The sequence below is a fragment of the Homo sapiens genome, chromosome 9, assembly GCF_000001405.40.
Source record: "Homo sapiens chromosome 9, GRCh38.p14 Primary Assembly".
Lineage (NCBI taxonomy): Eukaryota > Metazoa > Chordata > Mammalia > Primates > Hominidae > Homo > Homo sapiens.
The window spans coordinates 88,561,252-88,574,138 of record NC_000009.12 but is presented as its reverse complement, the minus strand read 5'-3'; the positions used below and the strand labels follow the sequence as shown (position 1 = coordinate 88,574,138).

The 12,887-nt window shown below is 44.3% G+C and overlaps 1 protein-coding gene across 3 annotated transcripts in view, besides 1 other annotated feature; it reads right to left on the bottom strand.

The window, feature by feature from the left end:
* NXNL2 (nucleoredoxin like 2) overlaps positions 1 to 12,887 on the bottom strand; it is a 49,333-nt gene that overhangs the window by 10,372 nt on the left and 26,074 nt on the right. Inside the window, exon 2 of one of the 3 annotated variants that reach the window (NM_145283.3) lies at positions 2,931 to 3,052. The exons of the other annotated variants lie outside the window; for them this stretch is intronic. Within the exon in view, the coding sequence (NP_660326.2) occupies positions 2,947 to 3,052 (106 nt within the window). The 3' untranslated portion in view covers positions 2,931 to 2,946. The remainder of the gene's footprint in view (positions 1 to 2,930; positions 3,053 to 12,887) is intronic. 3 annotated transcript variants of the gene reach the window in all.
* Positions 6,289 to 6,378: an enhancer, noted in NCBI's record as "active region_28525". NCBI's record gives its function as "activates an Ori minimal core promoter by ATAC-STARR-seq in GM12878 lymphoblastoid cells {active_cell/tissue: GM12878}" and the evidence as "EXISTENCE:reporter gene assay evidence [ECO:0000049][PMID:35858748]".

The window sequence follows — 12,887 nt, the reverse complement described above, 5'->3', positions numbered from 1 at the left end:
TCAGTTCTCTTGGGTGTATATATATATGAGTGGAATTGCTAGACCATATGAAAACATTTAACTTTTTAAAGAAACCACTAAACTGTTTTACAAAGAGGCTGCACCATGTTACAATCCCAGCAGGAATACAGATGTTCCAGAGGCTCCACATCCTCACCAATACTTGTTATTAACAGTCTTTCTCATTCTATCCATGCTAGTGGCAGGGAGGTGGTATCTCACGGTGCCTTTGATTTGCATTCATTTGATAACTACTAACGTTTAGCACTTCTTCACATACTTTTTGACCACTTGTGTATTTTCTTTGGAGAACTGTCTATACAGATCTTTTTTAAAATTGTGGCAAAATGCTCATAACATAACACCATCCTAACCATTTTAGTGTACAGTTCAGCAGTGGTAAGTATATCTGCACTGTTGGGCAACCCATCTCCAGAACATTTTCATACCCACTAAAAACCGTGCCCCATTTCCCCTCCTCCTGCTCTTGGCAACCACCAGTCTACCATTTCCATGCATTCAACCACTTGCTCGTGAGTGCAATGAGTAACTCTCTTCAATCCCCTAGTGTGATGATCCTATATAAAACATGTCCATTTTATTATGGAATTCTTTGGGGCACCAATCTCTGTTAGAGCATTTCTCCAATATCACCCAAGATAGTATGAGTATTTCAGGTTTCAAGACTACTGTATGGCCAGGCACAGTGGCTCATGCGTGTAATCGCAGCACTTTGGAAGGCTGAGGCAGGGGGATCACTTGAGCCCAGGAGTTCGAAACCAACCTGGACAACATGGCAAAACGCCTTCTCTACAAAAAATACAAAAATTAGCTGAGCATGGTGGTGCATACCTGTAGTCCCAGCTCTCCGGGAGGCTGAGGTAGGAGGACTGCCTGAACCCAGGAGGTAGAGGCTGCAATGAGCTGAGATCTTACCACTGCACTCCAGCCTTGGTGACAGAGCAAGACCTTGTCTCAAAAAAAAAAAAATTGACTATTTTATGTCCTTCAATCAATCATAGGAACAATTTCAATAAATGTTCAATAGCAAGCTAGTAATTGCCCCTCAGGTGGGAACTCCCTAGCCCACAGGTAAATCGGCCCTTCAGGCAATATTAATTGGACACATTAATGGGATTGAGCAAGATTACCCAGGCCCACACAGGGTGCTAATTTCAACAGTACAGAACAGAGGCTGCAGTGCTGGCAGCAAAGTCTCTGCACAATGGCCTCTTGTGGGACACAGACTGAGGCTTATGGCACCAGCCTGTGAGCACATCCCGGCCACACGTGAGTTAGATCCATCTCTGTCTTGGGCGCCTCTTCACCAGGAGGATTAAAGAACAATATCCAGGGTGCTGTCAAAGTGCCGGACCTCCTTCTCCTAACTCAGATACTCTTAGGGTGACATGGGGGATGGAGAGCTAAGGTGTCCGTCATTAAAGCGAGGCTCAGCCTCACCTCAGAGGGATACTCATGATCCCCCTTCACCTCCCAACACCTGGGTCGCAGCACAGGCCGATCGCCCTGTGTTTTGCCGGGGTCGGCAGGAGCTTCTGCTGCTGAGCATGTCGCCTGGTAGGGGCACGGCTCACCCAGTCTGAGGGCGTCTCCAAAGGCCCGTCATTCGTCACATGTGTGACTACCTGCAGGGTGTACTGTGCATGTTTAACACCCAGCTGCAGGAGGAGCCGCTACTTAGAAGTGTTGTCTGATTTCTGCTCTGTGAATACTCCCCCATGGCCCATTTCAGGCCCGTTTCCTACTATAGGTGGGAGGCCGAAGAAAGGTTCACAGGAGAGCCCTAGGAGCTGTCCCCACCTAGGATCTACTCCACCCATCCACAGAGTCAGAACATGTTTGTCCCAAGGGCAGGCACAAGGGCTGGCATAGAGAAAGCCCCCAGTAATACAATCGAGTGAATGAATGAGTGCACGCCCCAGAAACAACACTAACAAAAGTGTTAAAGGTTCTAGTGCTATTATAACGGAACTTGGGGTCAGCTATTTAGGGACACGCCAACAGGAATCAGATGCATTCTGTCTGGAGGTGGGCTATGGGGGACTGAGGGAGGGAGAAACCGCCTTCTCTGGGCACGTGCTCCTCAGCCTTGGGACACCTATTCACCTTCTCCATTTGTTTGGGGACCAGAAGCCACTCAAGTCTTCAAGGAAGAGATAAACATGGGCCCTGTGTGGCCACCCCCTCCCTGCGTGCCCTCTGATGGTGAAAATGTTTCTCTGAATAGATGTGGTCCTGGCTCTCCTGGCTGAAGGTCTCCGGTGGAGACGTTAAATGGGCAAGGCACAATTCTGAGGAGGACTGGCCTGAACCCCCGTCTTGCCCAGTGAGATGCCCCCAGGTGTTCAAGGATTCATGGTGGGACTGGGCCCCTCCTCCTGACGGAGCAAAGCTCTTGGTGAATTACACAGGACTGGACTAAACCTACTGACACAGGAACTTGCCATTTAGTTTAATTCAACCCTTGCTTGGAAACAGGAGCTCTTGCCATAGCAACGGTGGAATCACAAGATTCCCTGCCCACTCCACACGCGCAGCACAGTTACCAGAGCCAAATTGTGGTAGGAGAGAAAGAGAATTTCAACAGGAAAATAAAACATCAGTTCTGATTCTGCCAGCTAGCTTTAAGATTAATAAGGTATTTAAGATTTTCCCATGTACAGGCCTCAACATTCTTCCTGCACAGTGGAGGCATCTTCCAAAGCACCTATAGCTCCAAGCTCTGATCATTTGAAAGCATCAAAACAGGGCCAGGAGCTGTGGCTCACACATGTAATCCCAGCACCTTGGAAGGTCGAGGCAAGTGGATCACCTGAAGGTCAGGAGTTCGAGATCAGCCTGGACAACATGGTGAAACCCTGTCTCTACTAAAAATACAAAAAAAATTAGCCTGGCATGGTGGCACGCACCTGTAGTCCCAGATGCTCAGGAGGCTAAGGCTAGAGAATCACTTGAACCCAGGAGGCAAAGGTTGCAGTGAGCTAAGATCACGCCACTGCACTCCAGCCTGGGCAACAGAGCGAGACTCCGTCTGAAAAAAAAAAAAGAAAAGAAAGCATCAAAACAGTATTGGGGACCTGGCACCGGTGGCTCACACCTGTAATCCCAGCACTTTGGGAGGCCAACTCGGGTGGATCACCTGAGGTCAGGAGTTTGAGACCAGCCTGGCCAACATGGTGAAACCCTGTCTCTACTGAAAATACAAAAATTAGCCAGGCATGGTGGTGCACTCCTGTAATCCCAGCTACTCAGGAGGCTGACAGAGAAGAATCGTTTGAACCCAGGAGGCGGAAGTTTCAGTGAGCCAAGATCCCGCCACTGCACTCTGGCCTGGGCGACAGAATGAGACTCCATCTCAAAAAACAAAACAAAACAAAAACCAGTATTGGGCTCTTCCTGTTAAATCTGAGATTCTCTGAAGCTAACCAAATGAACCAAGCATTTACATAATGTTTGCTGCGTGCTGGATGCCCTTTTAAGAAGTCTGCATATATTCACAATCCATCTATTCCCCCAACAGCCTTATGAGATAGGTGTGATCATTATCTCCATTTTACAAATGAGGAAACTGAGGCATGATGAGGTAAACAAACTTGCCCAGGAGTTTGCATTTAAATAAAGGATTCAAACCTAGTACATCTCCATATTCTATTCACCAAAAAGGAAAGTACATCTTTGAAAATTAAAAACAAGTAAAACCTGCCAGGCATGGTGGCTCACGCCTGTAATCCCAGCACTTTGGGAGGCCAAGGCATGGGGATCGCTTGAGGTCTGGAATTTGAGATCAGCCTGGCCAACATGGTGAAACCTCATCTCTACGAAAATGCCAAAATTAGCCGGACATGGTGGCACGTGCCTGTAATCCCAGCTTTTTGGGAGGCTGAGGCAAGAGAATCACTTGAACCTGGGAGGCAGATATTGCAGTGGGCTGAGATCACACCCCTGCACTCCAGCCTGGACAACAGAGCCAGACTCTGTCTCAAAAATAAAAATAAAAATAAAAAAATTAATTAATTAAAAAAAAATAAAAACAAGCAAAACCAAGAGTGACACCCTATGAAAAACCACCGAGTACACTGCAAACTACGCAGGTGGGTGGACAAAGCCCTGAATGGGCATGGAGGTTTGCAGACATGAGGCGCCCTGCAGAGGTCTGCAGAAAAGACAGCACATTGCTGGGAATGGCAAGATCTGGGGGCAAAAAGTGCAGAAGAAATAGCATACAAAAAACAATCTCTGCAAATAACCGAAATAAAATATTAGCAAATCTAATTCTAAAACATATTAAAATAATAATAAATCATGGCCAAATAGAATTTATCCCACAGGAATGCAAGGAAAATTCAAATTAAGAATCTATTAACACAATTCACTATATTAATAAGTCAAAGAAGAAAAAACCACATAATTGTCTGCATACAGCTAAAATGGCACTTTAAAAATTCAGAATTCCTGATTAAAATTTTAAAACACTTAATAACAATAAGTGCATATTATGATACAAAGCATATCTTAAACCAAAAATAAGTATTAAACTTGATATCAAAACATCAGACATATTTTCATTATGTCTCTGCCATTATTAAATGTCAATTTAAGGCAAGAGAAAACCCGAAGAGATGAAAAATTATACTAAGGAAGGCAAAATTGAAAGATGGCACCTCCATGTGCTTGGGAAATCCAGATACAACTGAAATGCCTTAAAAACAATAAGGTTGCTGGCAAGAAACTACATACTGCACAGAACTTCTTTTCTATATATAAAGTTTGAAGGAAGAAAAAAAAGGAAGAAAGGATTATCTTTACAATGGCAACAGCAACAACATATGTGAAAAGTTACAAGCCATGCAGACTTGTATGGAAAAAACATTAAAACTCCAGCAAGTGGGCCAGGCATGGTGGCTTACGCCTGTAATCCCAATATTTTGGGAGGCCAAGGCAGGAGGACCATTTGAGACCAGGAGTACGAGACCAGCCTGGGCAACATGGCGAAACCCAGTCTCTACAAAAAAAATACAAAAAAATTATCCTGGTGTGGCGGTGCATGCCTGTATTCCCAGCTACTCAGGAGGCTGAAGTGGAAATATCGCTTGAGCCTGAGAGGTTGAGGCTGCAGTGAGCCATGATTGTGCCACTGTACTCCAGCCTGGGTGAGAGTGAGGCGTTGTCCAAGAAAAAAAAAAATTCATCAAGAGATGTAAAACAAAATTTGAATAAAAGATATCTCAGATCTTCTTGCTGGATCAAAGCCTCCATAATGTAACCAAGTGGGTTCTCATCAAACCATATTATAAATGAACGTGAAATAAATGTGGATTCATGTAAAAACAACAGGATTCTCTTCTGAACTACATACTGACATTTAGCTTATTGCAGAAAAACTAAACATGTGAGAATACCCAAGGAAGTTCTGCAAAAGAAGAGAAAACAGGGAAGATTTGCTCTACCAGATGATAAAACATTATAATGATACAGAAAATCAAATAGCTTGATAGGACAAACAGATTGACGGACTACTTGGAAAGACCAGAAAGAGGCCCAAGTATAAACATAAATATGGAAAGATAATGCCAGATGCAGGTGACTCTTAGAGTTTGAGGTTGTGGCCCTCAGTGCTGATCCCCTGGGGGGCCCAGTGTCCCCTCAGTCTTTTCAGTGGCACCAAGCCTGCCTCTCACCCTCCCCAGTGCGGAGCTGGGTCCATGGCTGTCTGGCCAGGGACGACACCCCCGGGCTCTCTCTACTCAAGTACAGCCATGTGACCAAGTCTTGGCCAGAGAGAGGAAAGCTGAAGTTCTCAGTGTGGATCCCCCTGTGCCATCCCATTCAGTAGCCACTAGCCACATGTGGGCATTTAAATTTAAATTTAAATTAATTAAAATAAGACATTGTTAAAGATGCAGTTAGTTGCACTAGCCATATTTCTTGTGCTCAGATAGTTGCATGTGCCTGTGGCTGCAGTGCTGGGCTATAGGGAATTCTGTGTACTTGATCATCTCTAACTTAAAAGCAAGTAACTTCCCCTGGGTATCCCCTAGCCCAGCGTGGCTCCACCCACGGTAGTAACCATCTGTGGTCACACAGTAAGAACACAACCTTAGGGGTAGGGTTGGGACTGGGTGAGGCAAGTCACGTACCTAGGTTGCAAAATTTAAGGAGGGACTGGCACCCAGCATCACCCAAGTGAGGGCCCCCCTGAATTCTGAGCATCAGTACCTCCTTCAACTCAGGCTGGTCTTGGTCCTGCTGTAGGGAGTGGAGAGCAACCCGATGCAGAGAGCCTAGGGGTTGGCCTGGAGTCTGGGCTGCTCCCCACACAGAGAAGAAAGGCCCAAGTACTTAAGTCACAGCTCCAGGCCCTTGTGGTATAAGTGAGAGATTAGTGCCTTACATATTAGTGTCTTATTTTATTAGCGGGAGAAAGACAGATTATTCCCTAAGTCAGAATGGGACAACTGGCACACTGTTTAGAAAAACAGAGATGAATCATTTTTTTACTCTTTCACCAATTCATCTTGAAGTTAATTGTAGTCCAACAAAAGTCCTGGTTGGCATATATACAAGGATATTTATTGAAGTAAAAGTTAAAGACTGGCATCAATTCTATCAACCAAGGACTGTAGAGAATAAATTATAGTATACCCACTTTAACATGCTGCATAGACATTAAAAAGAATTCAAGCCCAGGCGCGGTGGCTCACGCCTGTAATCCCAGCACTTTGGGAGGCTGAGGCGGGCAAATCACGAAGTCAAGAGTTGGAGACAAGGCTGGCCAACATGGTGAAACCCTGTCTGTACTAAAAATACAAAAATTAGCTGGGGATGGTGGCAGGCACCTGTAATCCCAGCTACTCAGGAGGTTGAGGCCGGAGAATGGATTGAACCTGGGAGGCAGAGGTTGCAGTGAACCTAGGTTACGTCATTGCACTCCAGCCTGGGCAACAGAGCAAGACTCCCCCAGAGAAAAAAAAGAATTCAATAAGTCAGGAAATAGTTATAGAGAATCTACTATGTACCAGTTCTATCAACCAGGCAGATGGAATTTCTGCTCTCAAAGAAGTCACAGTCTGTCTGTGGAGAAAGAAAACATATTAGATGATAGATAGATAGATAGATAGATAGATAGATAGATAGATAGATAGATGATAGATAATAGAAAGATGATAGATTAGAAATGATAGAGCTAGATTAGATAGATAGATAGATAGATGATAGATAGATAATAGGCTAGATAGAAAGATAGATAATATACCATTTTCAATAGCATCAAAAGAAATAAAATACTTAGGAATAAACGTAACTAAAAAGATGAAAGACTTGAACACTGAAAACTACAAAACTTTGATGAAAGAAGTTCAGTAAGTGGTGTTGGGAAAACCAGAAAAGAATGAAACATGCAAAAGAATGAAATGTGTCCTTTGTCTACACCATACACAAAAATCAACTCAAAATGGATTAAAGATTTAAATATAAGACCTGAAACTGTAAAACTCCTAAAAGAAAACATAAGGGATCGGCCAGGCGCAGTGGCTCATGCCTGTAATCCCAGAACTTTCGGAGGCCGAGCTGGGTGGATCACCTGAGGTCAGGAGTTTGAGACCAGCCTGGTCAACATGGTGAAACCCTGTCTCTACTAAAAATATAAAAATTAGCCAGGTGTGGTGGTGCGTGCCTGCAGTCCCAGCTACTCAGGAGGCTGAGGCAGGAGAATTGCTTGAACGCGGAAGGCAGAGGTTGTCATGTTGTCATGAGCTGAGTTCATGCCACTGCACTCCAGCCTGAGTAACAGACCAAGACTCCATCTCAAAAAAAAAAAGAAAAGAAAACATAAGGGAAATCTTCATGACATTGGCCTTGGCAATGATTTAATGGATCTGGCACTAAAAGCACAGATAACTAAGGCAAAAATAGACAAGTGGGATTACATCAAACTAAAAAGCTTCAACACAGCAAAGAAAACAATCAACAGAGTGAAAAGGCAACCTATGCAATGGGAGAAAATATCTGTAAACTGTATATCTGATAAGAGGCTGATTTCCAAAGCATATAGGAATTCATAAAACTCAATAGAAAAAGCAAAACAAAAAATTAATAACTCAATTAAAAATGGGATTAGGACTTGAATAGGCACTTCTCCAAAAACATACAAATGGCAAACAGGTATATGAAAAGATTTTCAACATCACTAATTATCAGGGAAATGCAAATCAAAACCACAATGAGATATCACCTCACACTTGTTAGAATGGCTATTATTAACAACAACAAAAATACAAGTGTTGGCTGGGCACGGTGGCTCATGCCTGTAATCTCAGCACTTTGGGAGACCAAGGTGGGTGGATCACATGAGTTCAGAAGCTCAAGAACAGCCTGGCCAATGTGGTGAAACCCTCTCTCTACTAAAAATACAAAATTAGCCAGGTGTGGTGTCCCGCACCTGTAATCCCAGCTGCTCAGGAGGCTGAGACAGGAGAATCACTTGAATCTGGGAGGCAGAGGCTGCAGTGAGCCAAGATCATGCCACTGCACTCCAGCCTGGGCAAGACAGAGAAGGACTCTGTCTCAAAAATTTAAAAAAATTAAAATTAAAATACAAGTGTTAGAGAGGATGTGGAATAATTGGAACCCTTGTACCCAGTTGGTGGCAATGCAAAATGATGCAGCTGCTATGGAAAACAATATGGAACAATTCCTCAAAAAATTAAAAATAGAACTCTCATATGATCCAGCAATCCTACTTCTTGGTATTTATCCAAAAGAATTGAGATCAGGATCTCAGAAAGATATCTGCAGTCCCATGTCCCCTGCAGCATTATTCACAATAGCCAAGATGGAAACATAACCATCATGTCCATCGACAGATGAATGGATAAAACATGTGGTACACACATACAATGGAATGTTATCCAGCCTTACAAAAGAGGGAAATCTTGCCATTTGTGACAACACAAATGAACCTTGAGGATATCATGCTCAGTGGAATAAACCAGGTGCAGGAGGACAAATACTGCATGATTCCACTTACAGGAGGTGTCTAAAGTAGTCAAACTCACAGGAATAGAGTAGAATGGTGGTTGCCAGAGGCTGGGGGAGGAGAAAATGGGAGGTTGCTACTCAATGGATATGAAGTTTCATCTGTGCCACATGAATAAGTTCTAGAGATCTGCTCCAAGACATTGTGCCTGTAGTTGGCAATACTGTATTGTCAACTAGAAATCTGTTAAGAGAGATCTTATGTGAAGTCTTCTTACAAAAATAAAATCAAAATAAGAATCAAGAGATCTAAAGAAAAAGAAATATTAGTAAATGTATAATAGACAGATGGTTGACAGAGATAAAGATAGATGAGAAAGAGAAAGGTAAATAAAAGACAGATAATAGATTAGACAGATTAATAGATACAGCTGGGCACAGTGGCTCACGCCTGTAATCCCAGCACTTTGGGAGGCCGAGGCGAGTGGATCACCTGAGGTCGGGAGTTCAAGACCAGCCTGACCAACATGGAGAAACCCCGTCTCTACTAAAAATAAAAAATAAGCTGGGCATGGTGGCACATGCCTGTAATCCCAGCTACATCAGAGGCTGAGGTAGGAGAATCACTTGAACCCTGGAGGCGGAGGTTGCAGTGAGCTGAGATGGTGCCACTGCACTCCAGCCTGGGCGACAAGAGTGAAACTCCATCTCAAAAAATAAATAAATAAATATATAAATAGATAGATATGTACATACATTGTACATATATACATGATAGATAATAGATGACAGATAAATAGATGATAGCTATAAATAGACGATAGATAGATAGATAGATAGATAGATAGATAGATAGATAATAGATAGATAGATAGACAGATAGATAGATAGATAGATAGATAGACAACATCAGAGAAGGGCTTTTTTTTTTTTCAAATGGAGTTTCGCTCTTGTCCCCCAGGCTGGAGTGCAATGGTGCAATCTCAGCTCACTGCAACCTCTGCCTCCCAGGTTCAAGCGATTCTCCTGCCTCAGCCTCCTGAGTAGCTGGGATTACAGACACATGCCACCACGCCCAGCTAATTTTTTTATTTTTAGTAGAGACAGGGTTTCACCATGTTGGCCAGGCTGGTCTCAAACTCCTGACCTTAAGTGATCCACCCACTTTGGCCTCCCAAAGTGCTAGGATTACAGGTGTGAACCACCGCGCCCGGCCCAGAGAAGGGCTTTGATGAAACTCAAGCACGCTAGAAGTCAGGTGCCATTTTTGAATGGGAGGGTCAGGGAAGGGTCCTCTGAGGAGATATTTAGGCAGAGGTGTGAACAATTGGAAAGAGTGATGACTGCAAAGAGGTGGGGAAGGATGCTCCCGAGAGAACGCCTAGCCAGCCACAAGCTCTTGAGAGGAGAGGGTGGTGTGTCTGGAGGGGAGAAAGGGAGGTGCAGAGAAATAGGGGAGCAGCAGGGTGGTTGGGAGAGGACTGGACTTTAGTCTAAAGGCACTGAGAAGCAGCAACACCACATGATCCAATTTAAACCTCAGAAGGCTCATTTGAGTGGCTGTATGGGCAAAGCAATATAGGGAGTCTGGAGTGAGTACTGGGAATCCAGCGGAGAGCCCACTGTGACCACGCAAGTGAGAGGCTGAGGGGCGCAAGGAGGGTGGGAGTGGGCGGTTCGAGATAGATGCCTCCTAAAGCACCGGGTGTGGGACGTGAAGAACAGCAGGCACTGGAGATGACTCCACAGCTTTTGACCTGAGCTATGGGAAGTCAGGAGAAGAACTAATGTATGAATATAAAGTAATCAGCAACAGATGCTGCGACATGAGAAATTCAGGGTGCAGAAAAGTTAGAATAGAAAGTCGCCAAGTGCACACACGTGTGTGTGTACACACATATGTGTGAGCATGCATGTGCACGAGCATACATGTGTATTTCTGTTCATTGTGTCCATTACCACAAACAGGAATCAAGTCGGTCTATCTCTGTCTTCTGACCCCAGACCCCATATGTGGTAAGCCCTCAGTCTGTTTATTTTATTTTTATTTTTATTTTTGAGATGGAGTCTCGTTCTGTCACCAGGCTGGATTGCAGTGGCATGATCTCGGCTCACTGCAACCTCCACCTCCTGGGTTCAAGCGATTCTCCTGCCTCAGCCTCCCGAGTAGCTGGGACTACAGGTGTGTGCCACCACGCCCAGCTAATTTTTGTATTTTTAGTAGAAACAGGGTTTCACCATGTTGGCCAGGATGGTCTCGATCTCTTGACCTTGTGATCCACCTGCCTTGGCCTCCCGAAGTGTTGGGATTTTGTCAATAAGCAAAATTTCCTCTGCCTTCTGTCCTACTATTTGTATGTCTCTTAATGCCTCACTACAATTTTTTTTTTTTTGAGACAGAGTCTTGCCCTGTCACCCAGGCTGGAGTGCAGTGGCATAATCTCAGCTCACTGCAACCTCCACCCCCCGGGTTCAAGTGATTCTCCTACCTCAGCCTCCTAAGTAGCTGGTATTACGGGCCACGCCACCATGCCTGGCTAATTTTTGTATTTTTAGTAGAAATGGGGTTTCACCATGTTGGCCAGGCTGGTCCTGAACTCCTGACCTCAAGTGATCCACCCACCTCGGCCTCCCAAAGTGCTGGGATGAGCCACCGCTCCCAGTCTCCTTACTACAATTTAAATTGCTTTTCTTTCTTTCTTTTTTCATTTTTTATTTGAAAGTTAACAGAAATGAAGGGCCTGATGGATTTTCACGAAGTGAACACACCCATGTAACCAGCACCTAGATGGAGATGCAGAGCACCTCCAGCACTCCCAGCCGCCCCCAGCCGCACCCTTGGGTGCCCTTTGCATTTCTAACCACCCCTCCACCAAGAGTGAGCACTATCTGACTTTTAACAAACACAGATCAATTTTCTCTGCTTTTGTATTTTCTATCAATGGAAACATACAGTATGTACTCTGTGTGCCTGGCTCCTTTTCCTCCACATTAATTGTTGAGATTCATCTCTATTGTATGTAGTTGTAGGTTGTCCCTGTGTAGTATCATGTTGTGTAAATATACTACAAATGATTTACGCATTCTACTTCTGAGGGGTGATGGAGCTATTCCCAGTCAGCACCTGTTACAACTAGTGCTGCTATGCACATTCCTGGTCGTGTCTTTGGGTAACATAGGATCCGTTGGGATACACCTTGGAATTCCTAGATGTGCAATTTTTCGGCTTTAGGACAATCAGCCAAATTCAATTTCTCAAATGGCTGTATGAGTCTGCATCCCCACCAGCAGCACAGAGACTTCCAGTTATTCCACCTCTTCTCCTGAGCTTGGCTTTCCCACCTTTAGGATCAGAGTCCTTCTGGTGGGTGTGCACCAGTGTCATGTCATGGCTGGTGTGGTTGGTTTCTAATCCTCTGGGCAGAGGTTCTCGGCACATTGGGATTACTGTCCACACAAGGCTCCCCTCTTGTTATTGGTGCTTGCTTATTTATGCCCCTTTGTATCCCCACACCCCTACCTTTCCCCCTCCTCCAGCATTAGGAATTCACTCTAAGGCTTTTATTGTGTAGACTGGTTTGTGTGTGTCATTGTCCCATGTATTAGTCAGGGTTCTCCTAGAGGGACAGAACTAATTAGACAGATAGATGATAGGTAGATAGAAAGATAGATAGATAGATAGATAGTAGATGGTAGATAGATTGATCGATAGATTGATAGATAGATGATAGATAAAGAGGAGTTTATTAAGTATTAATTTACACAATCACAAGATTACACAATCACAAGATTCCACAATAGGCTGTCTGCAAGCTGAGAAGCAAGGAGAGCCAGTCCGGGTCCCTAAACTGAAGAACTTGGAGTCTGATGTTTGAGGGCAGGAAGAATCCAGC